This window comes from Homo sapiens, chromosome 3 (genome assembly GCF_000001405.40).
Source record: "Homo sapiens chromosome 3, GRCh38.p14 Primary Assembly".
NCBI classification, from domain to species: domain Eukaryota; kingdom Metazoa; phylum Chordata; class Mammalia; order Primates; family Hominidae; genus Homo; species Homo sapiens.
This window is the reverse complement of record NC_000003.12, coordinates 93958094-93973226: the sequence shown is the minus strand read 5'-3', so window position 1 is coordinate 93973226 and position 15133 is coordinate 93958094. Positions and strand designations below refer to the sequence as shown.

Here is a 15133-nt window from a genome sequence, read left to right as displayed (position 1 = left end):
TTGAGCTTGGTTTGCTTGTCTCACATTAACGAAATGTTTTAGGATGACTGAGGGTTTGTATAGCAGTAGATATATGTCACTTTCTAACCCTGAAATCAAAAGGACTGTTAAATACTGTATTCTATTTCTCAGATCGTTTGTACTGAGGATTTTTTAACACTGCATGCCACTGATCTGAGGTGGTGGCATGAATTCTTTATCTTTGTGTTTCAGGTTCTTTATGTCCTTATGCCCGGATTCAAGACAGGATATTGAGTTTTCTCTGAAAAATATATAAGGAATACCAAGGCAATTAGTACATTTTAGTGGTCAGTTAATTTGTTTTCTAAAGTTGTAAGTGTGTTTATTGAATAAAAACGCCTTTTTGTTTGTTTGTTTGAGGGTGAGTCTCGCTCTGCTGCCCAGGCTGGACTGCAGTGGCTGGATCTCCGCTCAATGCAACCTCCGCCCCCCGGCTTCAAGTGATACTCATGCCTCAGCCTCCCGAGCAGCTGGGATTACAGGTGCCTGCTTCGACACCCGGCTATTTTTTTTTTTTTTTTGTATTTTTACTAGAGACGGGGTTTCACCATGTTGGCCAGGCTGGTCTCGAGCTCCTGACCTCCGGTGATCCATCCGCCTTGGCCTCCCAAAGTGCTGGGATTACAGGCGTGAGCCACCGCACCTGGCCAAAAATGACTTCTTGTTCTATGTTTTATTTTCAGGGATTGGAACAGGAGTGAGAACTCTGAATTACAAATAACTTTTAGGAGTCTAGAGCTCCAAAGTAAACTTTTTGAAGATGGAAATTTCTAGAAAATTATATATCAATTTGCTAACATTCCACTAGTTTCTATTAGTTAGTCATCAGGATGAATGCAGTACTTTAAAAATCTAACTTGGGACTAAAACATTATTTTTTGATCTTACATTAAACAGCTACAATTGCAAAACTTCAGCATTCAAACCCCTATCATTCAGCCAATTTGTAACTACATGCGCTTATTACCTAAATAGTTCATTAGGACAATTAAATATTTGCTTCATAGCTAGTGTTTTGGAGAGGAGAAAGGCAAAGTAGCTTGCCACACTTAACTCCTTGTCATCATAGAAATTTGCTAGGCTTTTTCTCTTTGTAGAGATTGTTACATTTTGACTGAATCTAGGCAGAGGTAAAAATTATATGGGTTTGTGTATGTGTATTATATATAAACATATGGGGAATTACACTTGTTATATATAACACTGATAGAGCAGATAAATTAATTCTTCAAGTATATCACATAAAGAATAGTTGGCCCCATAATGCTTTCAGTTAAAAGTTTTTGATTGCTTAATTGGATTAAAAGTCATCTGTGGTTTACTTATGAGGAAATTTGGATATAGATGTGATGTTTTTAATCCATATGATTTGATTTTACTTTATTTTTATTTATTTACTTTTTTGAGACGGTCTAGTTCTGTCACTAAGGCTGGAGTGCAGTGGCATGATCATAGCTCATGGCAACCTCCCCCTCCCGAGCTCATGGGATCCTCCCAGATCAGCACCTATCTAGCACCGCACCCAGCTAATTTATGTGTGTGTGTGTGTGTGTGTGTGTGTGTGTGTGTGTGTGTGTGGTTTTTATTTTGTTTTGTTTTTTTGGTAGAGTTGGTGTTTTGCCATATTGCCTAGGCTGGTCTTGAACTCCAGGGTTCAAGCGGCCTGCCTACTTTGGCTGCCCAAAGTGCTGGGATTACAGGTGTGAGCCACTGTGCCCAGCCTCCATATGATTTTAAATCTGAGATATAATTAGAGCTGTAAATATTTTATTTGTAATTCATTGTGTAGTTCTTTATTTAGAATTATTTATTTATTTATTTATTTATTTATTTATTTATTTATTTATTTAGAGATGGAGTCTTGCTCTGTTGCCCAGGCTGGAGTGCAGGAGTGCAGTGGCGTGATCCCAGCTCACTGCAACCTCTGCCTCCTGGGTTCAAGTGATCCCCCCACCTCAGCCTCCCAAGTAGCTGGTATTGCACCAGCTGGCATGCACCACCATACCCGGCTAATTTTTGTATTTTTAGTAGAGACAGGGTTTCACTATGTTGGCCAGGCTGGTCTTGAACTCCTGACCTCCAGTGATCTGCCCACCTCAGCCTCCCAAAGTGCTGGGATTACAGGAGTGAGCCACCTTATCCAGCCTATAATTCATTGTTTAGGCCATAGAAAGCTAAGGACGATTAAAAAAATATTTTTGTGATTAAAAAAAATCTTGCCCAGACCGGAGTGCAGTGGCTATTCACAGGCACTATTATAGGGCACTACAGCTTTGAACTCCTGGCCTCAAGGAATCCTCCCATCAGCCTTCTGAGTGTCTGGGACTGTAGGTATGCACCACCATGGCTGGCTTATAGTTGTGATTTAAAGAAAAACATTTACAAATCATAGCTTTATTTTAGAAAGAGTTATTAGAAATAATCTAATTCAACTTATTTGTTTTAAAAATAAAAAAAGAAATTGTTCAGAGATATTAACTAATTTTCCAGAATACATATATATACATACATATATGTATGAGAGAGAGAGATGAGAATCTCTATATTTAACATATATACTGTCACCCGGTCATAGCCGCTCATGCCTGTAATCCCAGCACTTTGGGAGGCTGAGGAGGAAGGATCGCGTGAAGCCAGGAGTTCAAGACCAGCCTGGGCAGCATAGTGGGACCCCGTCTTTACAAAAGAAATTAAAAAAAAAAATTAGCCGGATGTGTTGGTACACACTTGTAGGCCCAGCTACTCAGGGGTCTAAGGTGGGAAGATCACTTGAGCCCAGGAGGTTGAGGCTGCAGTGAGCATGATTATGCCACTGCACTCCAGCCTGGGTGATAGAGCGAGATCCTGTCTCCAAAAATAATAAAAATAAAATAGATACTGTCTACATATTTTAATCATTTCCCACTTAAGGCATGTGGTGAGGAAATAGGAGAAAGAGGATGTCCCTTTGGCTGTGCTAATTTGGCCTTATCTAGACTGCCACCCTGGGCCAGTGCAGGCTACTCTAGACACTACTGACTCATATTTTCCTCCTCTTTTGTACCCTCTTCTTTCTTTCTCTAACTATTCCTTTTACTAGTTATGAAGGCTTATCTTTTCTTAAATTATCTTTACTAAAAAGTCCAAAATGTTGCACTGATGGAGAGATTTTATCAAGGTTAGGTTACAGTTGGAGTTTGTGCTGGAAGAGTTAGAAACAATTTCTAATATACAGTAATACAACATCAAACCCTATGCCACATTCTCTTACTATTAATTCTGTGCTAAGAAACAATAGACCTTTTCTGTTCATCAAGTTTATATTTTTGCAGCTTGAGCGATCTATATACATACTTAAACCTTCAAAATATTATGCCTGATAATACAGTATTCTTTGCCTATAAGCAACAGTAATGAACTATTGCTAACTAAAGGAAAGAAAAAAGGAAAAGAAAAAAGAGAGGAAGGAAGGAAGGAGCAGTTAAATAATTTATTGGAAGGCTACTGAATGGCTAGCTGAACAGCCAGGCCTACAGAAGCCAGGCCTACAGAAGGAATGCGAACATTTAGGTGACCTATACAGTGGGAACTCATGTGACAGTACTTGAGGAGCTGCCAATCAGATGACTCAATTCTGTCTTCCAGTCCTATGTGTCTCTGTGAACAGCTCAAATTCCTAGGAGGCCCTGATCATTTTGGCTTAGCCTGGCACTGGAGTCCTGTGATCGACAGCTCACTAGAATTGCACAGAGTGCCGGAAGAACAGTTCCCACAAAAGAATGGATGCTGGGAAGGACACAGAAATAAGAAAAGTCTACATATTCTAATTATTGGCTGTCTAACAAATACACTTGCCCTTCTTTCCATACACACCATTTGAAAATATTTATCTGATATAATGCAAATAACTACTGCACAGAGAAAGAACCCTCTCCTCAATTGGTTCCAGGCACCACATTCAGAGAGGAAGGCTTGAGGCTTCCATTTCCTAGGTATCATCAAGTGATGGCCATGATTCCTGTATTTCTGTGCTATGCTTTATGGATAAAATGATACATTATAGTGTACCAACACATCTTATATGCAAAAAAAAAAAAAAAAAAAGAAAACAAAAGCAAAAACAAAAAAAACAGGCAAGGGAATACAGGTAATGGTTTTAGGGCTTGCCTTTCTCTCCCTTGGTTACAAGCATGAGCTGGTATTTATGACTCTTTCCCTACCCATTTCATAGCTCTCTTGCCCTCAGGATGCAAGTGCCTCATGTTTGTGTTTGCTCAATAAGATGAACCATAGCATATTCAGGAAGAATCCGAGCCCTTATTGTCCCTACCTGTGGGTGGTCCATCCATTGTTTCTTTTCCTATTTCTCCTGTGGACAGTAGTCATCCTGGAGGGGCTTCACACCTAACCCTGATTAGTATGTGGCAACAACACTATTTTGCCTGGATTATTGTCTTCCTTCTAACATAATCCTCTGATTTTTATTTCTTTATTTTTTTTCAGCAGGTAAAGAGCTTCAAATGGCAACACAGCAGTCTGAGCTTATAATTCAGTGGAAAATATGTTAGATCCCCTAGTGAATGCATTCCTTGGAAACCATTCTTGGTTTCCAAATTTGTAGGTGAGCCGAATGCAGTTGTGAGGACGGAATGTAAAAAATTTGAGATTAGGTAACTGTATTAGTCCCCTAGGACTGCCATAATAAAGTACCACAAAGTAGGTGGTTTAAACAACAGAAAGTTGTGGTCTCACAATTTTGAAGTCTAGAAGTCCAAAATCAAGGTATCAGGAAGGTTGGTTTCTTCTGAGGGCTGTGAGGGGAGAATATGTTTCATGCTTTCTCCTAGCTCCTGGTAACCTCAGATGTTCCTTGGCTTTGGGGTGGCATTATTCCTGTGTCTTCACATCGTTTTCCCTCTGTACATGTCTGTCTCTGTGCCCACATTTCCCCTTTTTATAAGGACACCAGACTCACTGGATTAAGGCCTACCCTAATGACCTCATCTTAATTTGATCATCTGCAAAGACCCTATTTCCAAATAAGGTCATATTTACAGGTACTAGGGAATTACAACTTCAGCATCTTTTGGGGTCAGCCATAGCAGTCATTAAACATCATATCATGACAAGTACTTCTTTCCTTTTTCCCTTTATTCTGGATCTGTGTATTTTGGCTTTAGTAAAATAGTGCTGTATTTTATTTTATTTTAAGCCAGTCAAATTTGCCAGTTGGAGGTTGTGTATCAACTTAATGATACTAATATTAACAAGTTCTGATAACCCACTACTATTGGACCAGCCTACAATCTTTTATTTATTTATTTATTTATTTTTTGAGACAGGGCCTCATTCTGTTGCATGGGCTGGAGGAGTGCAGTAGCACAATCATGTCTCACTGCAGCCTCGACCTGCCAGGTTCAAGGGATCCTTCCACCTCAGCCTCCCAAGTAACTAGGACTATAGGTGCATGCCATTACACCAACTAATGTTCTTTTTGATTTTTAGTAGAGATGAGATCTTGCTATGTTTCCCAGGCTGATCTTAAACTCCTGGACTCAAGGGATTCTCTGGCCTCAGCTTCCCAAAGTGCTGGGATTACAGGTGTGAGCCACTATGCCTAGATAGCACTATATTTTAATGATTGCTGGTACAGAGAACATACCATATTTTTTAAAACCATATTTTGAAAGATAGTGTTGTGTCTTACAGTGAGTGAGCCCTCTATAATTGGTGAGTTCATCATTCCATAAGGTTAGCTCCTTCCAGATATTAGGATATACACTAAGGCCAAGGAAAACTATAATCCTTCCACTGATTTGTTTTAATTGTGGTGTTAAATCCTTAGAGGTAGTGTTGTGTGGCTTAGCATAAAGCATTGAATAAGTCTACCAATAGTTGTGCTGACAGAAAAATTAAATCCCAATAAGTGTCTCTACCTATGCTGCTCCTCCATGATGGAAGAGCCCTTCTTAATCAACAATCTACCGGATAATCTGATTGAACTATGTGATATGTTCAACTTTTAGCAGCTCGAGGAATAGCAATCCTGCAGAAAAATTTGGTGTTTTTACTTTTATAAGGAGAGTCTGGGTGGGCCTTAGTGAAGGAAAGTTCATGTGGCAGATCCAGTGTGGCCAATGTGTAGCCTCCATCCTTGCCACTGTGGCTTCCTTTTTAAATAAATATTGGATAAACATTAGACTGGGGGCAACCCGAAAGCCATATGTGGCCTATAAACTTCTGTGTTTGGCCCTTATACGTTTCAAAAATTGGAACATTTCATGTCAACATTTGGTTTTATGGCTTCTCTTGAGAAACAATGAAGGAACATCTGACAACACTGGCGCACATCCCAACATGGTAAGATTCAGCTGAAGCTGATTGTGAGCTGCCTTCTTCTTTTTTTTTTTTTTTTTTGGAACAGAGTCTTGCTCTGTCGCCCTGCCTCAGCCTCCTGAGTGGCTGGGACTACAGGCATGTTGCCACCACGCCCAGCTAATTTTTGTATTTTTAGTAGAGATGGGGTTCCACCATGTTGGCCAGGCTGGTGTTGAACTCCTGACATTGTGATCCACCCGCCTTGGCCTCCCAAAGTGCTGGGATTACAGGTGTGGTGATCTGCCTTCTTTAGATAGAATGTGCCCGCTGCAGTTTGCTACAATGCTGAGCATCTCCCATTGTCTTTAACCAAATTATCTTCCTTTGTTTATGCTGCCTACTGGACACTTAGAATTTTTAGTTTGTGGTCCTTGCACTAGATAGTCTTGAGAGGAAACATAACTGATGGTCATTAAGTAGGTCATTCTGCCATCATTATTACTAATAACTTCTCTGGTGTGGTGCTGTCTTGTGAATGTTCACCTGGAACACAAACATTCTCATCTCTGGGACAATTCTTGCTTGAACTTCGTCCCTAAGCCTGTGATCTACCTCTTTACAAGTCACTGAACCTCTGGAAAGACCATTTGCAACCATCTCAGGCAATTTCTCATTGTAGGCAAAGTGAACAATGAGAAATGCCACTTATATGTCTGCCCATAGTGAGGGTTTTGCTTCTCCAGTGCCTCTCAGGACCACCCCTGAGAGAGGTTAGTTTGTTAGTTTTTGGCTGTAGCTTTATAGGAGGTATACATCTGGCTCATATTGGTATACCACAGAGAGGCGTCTGTTGATATGGTTAGGATGTTTTGTCCCCTCCATATCTCATGTTGAAAAGTGACTTCTGGCCAGGCGCAGTGGCTCATGCCTGTAATCTCAAGTCTTTAGCACTTTGGGAGGCCGAGGCAGGTGGATCACTTGAGGTCAGGAGTTTGGGATCAGTCTGGCCAACATGATGAAACCCTGTCTTTACTAAACATACAAAAATTAGCCAGATGTGGTGGTGCCCACCTGTAATTCCAGCTACTCAGGAGGCTGAGGCAGGAGAATCGCTGGGACCTGGGAGGTGAAGGCTGCAGTGAATCGAGATCATGCCACTGCACTCCAGCCTTGGTGACAGAATGAGACTCTATAAAAAATAAAAATAGAAAAGAAAAGAAAAGTATCAGGTTGTTACCGGGGGGTCCTTGCTCACAGAGCTCCCAAGATGGTGGTGAGCTGCTTCCAAGATGGTGGCAGGCAGCTTCCAAGGTGGTGGCAAGCCTAGTGTTCTCTGACCTGGGGTTCTTGGCCTCATGGATTCCAAGGAATGTAATCTTCGGCCATGCAGTGAGTGTTATAGCTCTATTAGAAGCCTTGGGTCACAGAAGAGAACCGTAGAACCCAGTGACTAGTGTTCAGCTCGATTAGGACAAACCCGGGCACTTAGCCATGCAGGAACAATGGCAAGCCTTTAGCCAGATCAGGAGCGGCAATGGGCGCCTCGCTGGATCAGGAGCACAGCGGACACCCTTCCGGATCCGGAGGGATGGGAGTCAGCAGCGGGTCTGCGACGGCGGCAAACAGCAGTTGTGGACGGCGAGCAAAAGCTCAGCTTGAGCCGTAACAAACACAGACCAGAAGAGGGCAGTTGCAAGATTTAATATTGTGAAATAGAGTGAAAACAGAGCTCCCATACAAAGGGAGGGGACCCAAAGGGGGTTGCCATTGCCGGCTCGAATGCCTGGGTTTTTATCCCGATCCTTGTCCCTCCCGCTGTGCTCTCAGGCAATAGTTGATTGACTATTTCTTTACCTCCTGTTTTTGCCTAATTCGCATTTTAGTGAGCTCTCTGATTGGTCGGGTGTGAGCTAAGTTGCAAGCCCCTTGTTTAAAGGTGGATGTAGTCACCTTCCCAGCTAGGCTTAGGGATTCTTAGTTGGCCTAGGAAATCCGAACCTGCCCTCAATATTTCAACATAGGTTCTTTCTATTTTCCATAAGTGTTGGCTGGCTGAGAAATAAAGAGAAAGAGTACAAAGAGAGGAATTTTACAGCTGCACCTCCGGGGGTGACGCCACGTATCTGTAGGACTGTGATGCCCACCTGACCCTCAAAACCAGCAGGTTTTTATTAAGGATTTCAGAAGGGGAGTGGGTGTAAGAACAGGGAGCAGGTCACAAAGATCACATGCTTCAAAGGGCAAAAGGGAGAACAAAGATCACAAGGCAAAGGGCAAAAGCAGAATTACTGATAAGGGTCTTTGTTCCGTGGTGCACATATTGTCTTGATAAACATCTTAAACAACAGAAAATAGGGTTCGAGAGCAGAGAACCAGTCTGACCTCAAATTTACCAGGGTGAGGTTTTTTCCCCACCCTAGTAAGCCTGAGGGTACTGCAGGAGACCAGGGTGTATCTCAGTCCTTATCTCAACCGCATAGGACAGACGTTCCCAGAGTGGCCGTTTATAAGCGGCCCCCCAGGAATGAATTCCTTTCACAGGGCCTTAATATTAATATTCCTTGCTAGGAAAAGAATTTAGCAATGTTCTCCTACTTGCTCATCCATTTATAGGCTCTCTGCAAGAAGAAAAATATGGCTGTTTTTGCCCAACCCCGCAGGGAGTAAGACCTTATGGTTGTCTTCCCTTGTTCCCTAAAATCACTGTTATTCTGTTCTTTTTCAAGGTGCACTGATTTCATATTGTTCAAACACACGTTTTACAATCAATTTGTACAGTTAACACAATTATCATAGTGGCCCTGAGGTGATGTACATCCTCAGCTTAGGAAGATAACAGGATTAAGAGATTAAAGTAAGACAAGCATAAGAAATTATAAAAGTATTAATTTGGGAACTGATAAATGTCCATATTAAAATGAAATCTTCACAATTCATGTTCCTCTGCTGTGGCTCCAGCCGGTCCCTCCATTCAGGGTCCCTGACTTCCTGCAACAGAAAAGAAAGAAAAGGAAAGGGAACGGAAGGGGAGGGGAGGGAAGGCACCTCCATTGTAGGAGGTGGTGCCTGGTGGGAGGTGTTTTGGTCATGGGGGTAGGTCCCTTATGAATAACTTAGCACCAGCCCCTAGGTGATGAGTGACTTCTCATATGAGATTCACAGAGGTTCACGTGAGATCTGGTTGTTTAAAGTCTGGGACCTCTCCTTCTAGCTCGCGCTCCCATTCTGGCCATGTGATCCACTGCTCCCCTTTTGCCTTCTACCATGATTGGAAGCTTCCTGAGGCCCTCACCAGGAGTAGATGCTGGCACCATGCTTCTTGTACAGCCTGCAGAATGGTGATCCTATTAAACTCCTTTTCTTTATAAATTATCCACCCTCAAGTATTCCTTTGTAGTGATGCAGACAGATTAACACATCTGTAAGCCAGAGATTAGTTGGTCATAGATCTCTTCTTATGAGACCAATGAGGGGGTTTGAGGGTGAGGAGGAAGTCAAGAGAGTGACCAACCTGTGTTGGCAACTAAGTTATGCCTTTAGGCTCATCTTATTTATAACAGTTGAGCATGGTTTATGCTATCACAACTACATAGCTCAATGGAAAAGACAGCATCCCGCTTATGATGAGCTGTTTACATCTCATGGTCACCAGGTGTCAGATAGTCAGATTTTCAGACTCCACTTAAGTCCCAAAAAACAAACAAACAACAAAAAACCCAAGAGCAGTTTCTCAAAAGAAAACGAATTGCTTGCTGAAGGAAATGAGACTTGCACAAATCGTGGAGATCTCTACTGAAATTTCTCTTCTGGAACTTGCTGCAGCTTCTGAAGAGGACCTTGCTCTTCAGAAAATTTGAGCACAATTGGATCTGATGGATCATTGGCTAGGCCAAGTGACAGACCACTTGATTTGAACTTTGAACTAGCTGGAGAGCATTCTCTTACTATGGTTCCCATCTATATTTGGCAGCCTTTCGACTCCTGTGGTAAATAGATCATAGTAGAAAACCTTAAAATGGAATATGCCTCAAAAATAAGACATCTACCAAAATTTATTCTTCTACCTTAGTGATGGACACTCAGGTACATAACAACTTCTCTCACTTCTGCAGGAATGTTCCAACATGACCAAACTCTTGCTGAAGAGTCCACTGAGAGTCCACTGCTCTCAGTCCTAGGGAAGGAATGAAAGCTTTGGGTTTGAGTCTGATTAGGCCTATAGTTAGATGGTTTTAGGACAGAATTCTGCTTATCAGCTGACTTGCATAAGCCTCAATTCCAACCAGCATACCTTAATCAGCATACATTAGGTCTTAGACATTTTGCTTCCTCAAAGCCCACTATCTAATAATCACTAAAGGTTTTTGGGATGTTTCTCTTCAGTGTAGTTATTCAGGTAAGATACTTTAGTTTGGAGAAACTGGGAGAAAAGCTTATAGTATGAAACTGTAACAGAAGGATACTTCCTTAAGGGCCTCTCTCCTCTCCTTCACTCAAGAGGTTCTGGATCAGTCAGATAACTCAAAATTGGTGATTAAGGAGAGGCAGTGATTTATTTTTATTGTGGTTGAAGTACAGCCTCTATTTGCTAGTATAGGGAGTTTGTGCATGAAACAGTGAAGAAATCGGTGGGTTGTCTATTCATCTCAATCTCGTGAGATCTCTGCTTGTTAATCCTTTCTCCAAAATGTGATCACTACACACACCCCAGTTTTTGTTCAGGTGAGTAAGAGCTGCTAACTAAGCTCAGCCACCCCTGTTTCTTCCCATTCCACTTGAAATCTGGGGGCTCATTTCCATTGCTGTCCCTCCCACCAGCATGTTTGATCTAGGGAGAACTGCCAGTAAAATGCTTATTAAAAATTCCAGTGGTTTCTCCAATAATCGTTTTTCACAGGATCAGTGAAAATGTAGTCTTCTCTTCTATATTGGGGGAGAGTGGGGATGATTGAGGAGGAGAGAATAGGTAGGGGTGACGTAAAAAATTCAAGCCAGAATTTCTGTCTCCTAGTCTTTTTGAATTCTTTCTGTTACATTATGCCAAGGAATGTCTGGCTTTTCAATGTTATTTGGTGTGTGCCAAGATTGGTCTAGGATGGCATTAGCCAACCAAGCCAACTGTTAGAACGGAAGCTGGCAGCCCTAGCTAGCAAATGGAATGAAAGCAGCAATATTACCACATTCAGCCTGATTAAAAATTATGCTATCTCTTTTTGTATTCATTTTCTATTGCTTTGTAACACATTACCAAAAATTTAACAGCTTAGGAAAACACAATTTATTATCTCACAGTTGCATAGGTCAAAAGTCCAGGCACAAATCCAGTTAAGTTGCTCAGAATCTCACAAGGCTAAAATCAATGGGTTGGTCATGGTTGAGATCTCATTTGAAGCTTGAAGTCCACTTCCAGGCTTCCTGATTGTTGGGAGAATTCAGTTCCTCACAAGTGTAGGATTGAGGCCCTCAGCTCCTGAGACCTCTCACCATTCCCGCCATGTGGCCCTCACCATAACATGGCAATTTGCTTCTATAAAATCAATTTTAAAAGCATCAGCTGCTGCTTTTTGTCTCCTATCACTGTTTCTGCAATCTGAATTTGGCATGCAAAGCTCAAAATCTAGGGGATTCCAGCCTTATCTCTTCCTACAACTGACCTTTCCCTGCTTCTCCTCTCAAAATGGACCATTCTCTGTCCCTTCTCCCCTATGGCCTTTTCACATGCTGGTCCTTCTGTTTGAAAGACAATTCCTCTTTGTCATCCTCCCAGTCATGCCAGGTGATCTATCCAAAGACTATTCAAGTTTTAACATACTTTATGATTTTGTTTCCCTTTTTTAGAATCATGAATTGAACTATCATAAAGCTTTGCAGGGTCTTAATTTTTCCATTTAAAGGATAATTTAGAAAAGTGTTTTTTTTTTCTCAATAGCTAGTCTCTAATATTTAAAAAACCGCCTTTGTTTTTTTTTCTTTTGCCCTTTTGTTTTATTGGTTATTTTATTCAAGGAATAAACCTGAACAACTCTATTTTATCTATGTGTTTTTACTTTTATTAGAGCCCTCTGATTTTTATTATTAACAAAGAAACAAGCACATTATTGAATAACCTCTGTTACAGGTATTAGTTTAAATGTTTCATACCTTTATATTAGTTAAGATAAGATGGTCTATGAAGTGATAACACATTAATCCTCAAATCTCCAAATTGATTTTCAAATTTCTAAATCTTGATGGCTTGGCAAAATAAGAGATTATTTCTTAACCATATAAAGTTCAGTGTGGTTTGCATAAATCTCTTTCATCTTTAGTTATACCATCTGGAACACATAGCATCCAAAGTTCCTGCAAAAAAAAAAAAAAAAAAAAAAAAAAAAAAGAGCAATGGAGGTGGTGTACTTGTTTTTAACTGCCTCAGCTTAAAAGTGACAAACGCAGCCAGACGCGGTGGCTCACGGCTGTAATCCCAGCACTTTGGGAGGCCGAGGCGGGCGGATCTCAGGGTCAGGAGATTGAGACCATCCTAGCTAACACAGTGAAACTCATCTCTACTAAAAATACAAAAAAATTAGCTGGGCATGGTGGTGGGCACCTGTAGTCCCAGCTACTCAGGAGGCTGAGGCAGGAGAATGGCGTGAACCCAGGAGGCTGAGCTTGCAGTGAGCTAAGATCGTGCCACTGCACTCCAGCCTGGGCGACAGAGCGAGACTCCATCTCCAAAAAAAAAAAAAAAAAGTGACAAACGCACTTCTGCTTATAGTTCAAATAGTTAAAACTCAATGAAGCACATGGAATATTTCTTCGGCACTATGTCTGTTAGAAACATTTTCTCTTAAGGTTGAAATTAATGTATTTTCCTCTAAGAGAAGTATAAATACTTATTGCCTATTTAACCTTTGGTAATATATATTACAAAGTGTGTGGTTGTTTTAATTATCTGAATAAACTTTGTGATAGAGGGAGGGCATAATTTACTATGCCTGCTAACACACCAGCTGGTAGTTACTTAGTATTATTACACTGAGTTGGCTATTAATGTAGCAGAACGAAAAAATATGGTAACAGCTGATATTGAAATTACTCCTATGGTGAGAACTGTTGTTACATTAGAAATTACCTTGAAAAGAAGCTTGAGTTTTGGAAAGTGAAGTCCCTGAAACATGGTCTATAACTTTGCTATTCCAGTATGGTCCGTGGAACATCAGCATCAGGTTTACCTGGGGACTTAACTAAAAATGAAATATATCTGGCCCTACCCTGGATGTACTCATCCAGAATATGCATTTAAACAAGACTTTCAGGTAATTTCTATCCACATTTAAAGTTTGAGACAATCTAGTTTTTAATGAGATAGAGAAGATAGATAAGTGAACAAATTTTTGCAGAATGGCCAGAGGTGGCAATTAGGGCAAGAGAAGAGGAAATGTCAGAGAAGGGAGAAAGAAAGCTGAGCACCATGGCAAGAGAATGCAGCTTGTGGAGAAGGTCTCCAGTGAGAAATTACTAGATGTGAGGTGGGTAAAGACTTTTAGGAATGGGCATTTCTTTTTTCTTTCTTTTATTATTTTTAAATTCCTTTTTTTGGTTGTTGTTATTTTGAGAAAGAGTCTTGCTCTGTCCCCCAGGTTGGAGTGCAGTGGTGTGATCACAGCTCATCGCAGCCTCGACCTTCTGGGCTCAAGCAATCCTCCTGCCTCAGCTCCTGAATAGCTGTGACTACAGGCTTGAGCTACCATGCCCAGCTAATTTTGGCCATGTTGCCTAGGCTGGTCTCCAACTCCTGAGCTCAACGGATCCTTCTACCTCAGCCTCCCAAAGTGCTGAGATTACAGATGTGAGCCACTGCACCCAGTAAAAGTGGCATTTCTAAGTTTCAACTTTAAATTACAAAAGTTGCTTAAATATAAACAACTGAACCCTGAATTCCTCTGCCTCTAGTGTTTTCAAAAAGTGTCAATTTTCACATCTAAATTGATTACGTACTCCATTAGTCTGTTTTCATGCTGCTGATAAAGACGTACCCGAGTCTGGGCAGTTTACCAAAGAAAGAGGTATAACTGGACTTTCAGTTCCATGTGGCTGGGGAAGCCTCACAATCACAGTGGAAGGCAAGGAAGAGCAAGTCCCATCTTATATGAATGGCAGCAGGCAAAGAGAGAATGAGGAAGACGCAAAAGCAGAAACCCCTGATAAAACCATCAGACTTCATGAGACTTATTCACCACCATGAGAACAGTATGGGGGAAACCACCCCAGTGATTCAATTTTCTCCCACCAGTTGCCTCCCACAACATGTGGCAATTATGGGAGTTCAATTAAAGATGAGATTTGGATGGGGACACAGAGCCAAACCATATCAAGTACAAAGAAAAGAGTCTCATAAGATGCAAGTGAGGAAGAGGTTAGTGAAAGCTAATCTACAAAACCAACAGTGACTATCCACAAGAATGAAGGAATGCAGAGGTTTTGACAGATGTTGGAATTTTATCAAATGTAGGATTGGGTTTCATATCATTATTCAGTGAATCAAAAAGGGCAGGATGATGTTTGACATTAGCAAGACCTAAACTATCTTTACATTATTAAGCTTTGATTGAGATTAACATTGCATTAATCTAAAAGAAAACAACCTTTGCGATGAAAAAAAGTCTTGACCCTTGTTCTGTTAGATGACACAAATTCTTTTTACCTAAATATTCCTGTTTTATTAGGTTTTATTTTACATATATCTTACAAAAACATATAAGTAAAAATAATAATTTAGGGGGGTTGGGTGATAATTCAATATTTTTATTTTATTTTATTTTATTATTATTAT

General features: G+C 40.9%; 1 protein-coding gene across 2 annotated transcripts in view, besides 1 other annotated feature; it reads left to right on the top strand.

Moving 5' to 3' along the window:
• PROS1 (protein S) overlaps positions 1–15133 on the top strand; it is a 100846-nt gene that overhangs the window by 670 nt on the left and 85043 nt on the right. The window lies entirely within an intron of this gene.
• Positions 1388–1682: a silencer, noted in NCBI's record as "tiled region #12381; K562 Repressive DNase matched - State 5:Enh". NCBI's record gives its function as "represses a minimal TATA promoter and a strong SV40 promoter by Sharpr-MPRA in K562 cells {active_cell/tissue: K562}" and the evidence as "EXISTENCE:reporter gene assay evidence [ECO:0000049][PMID:27701403]".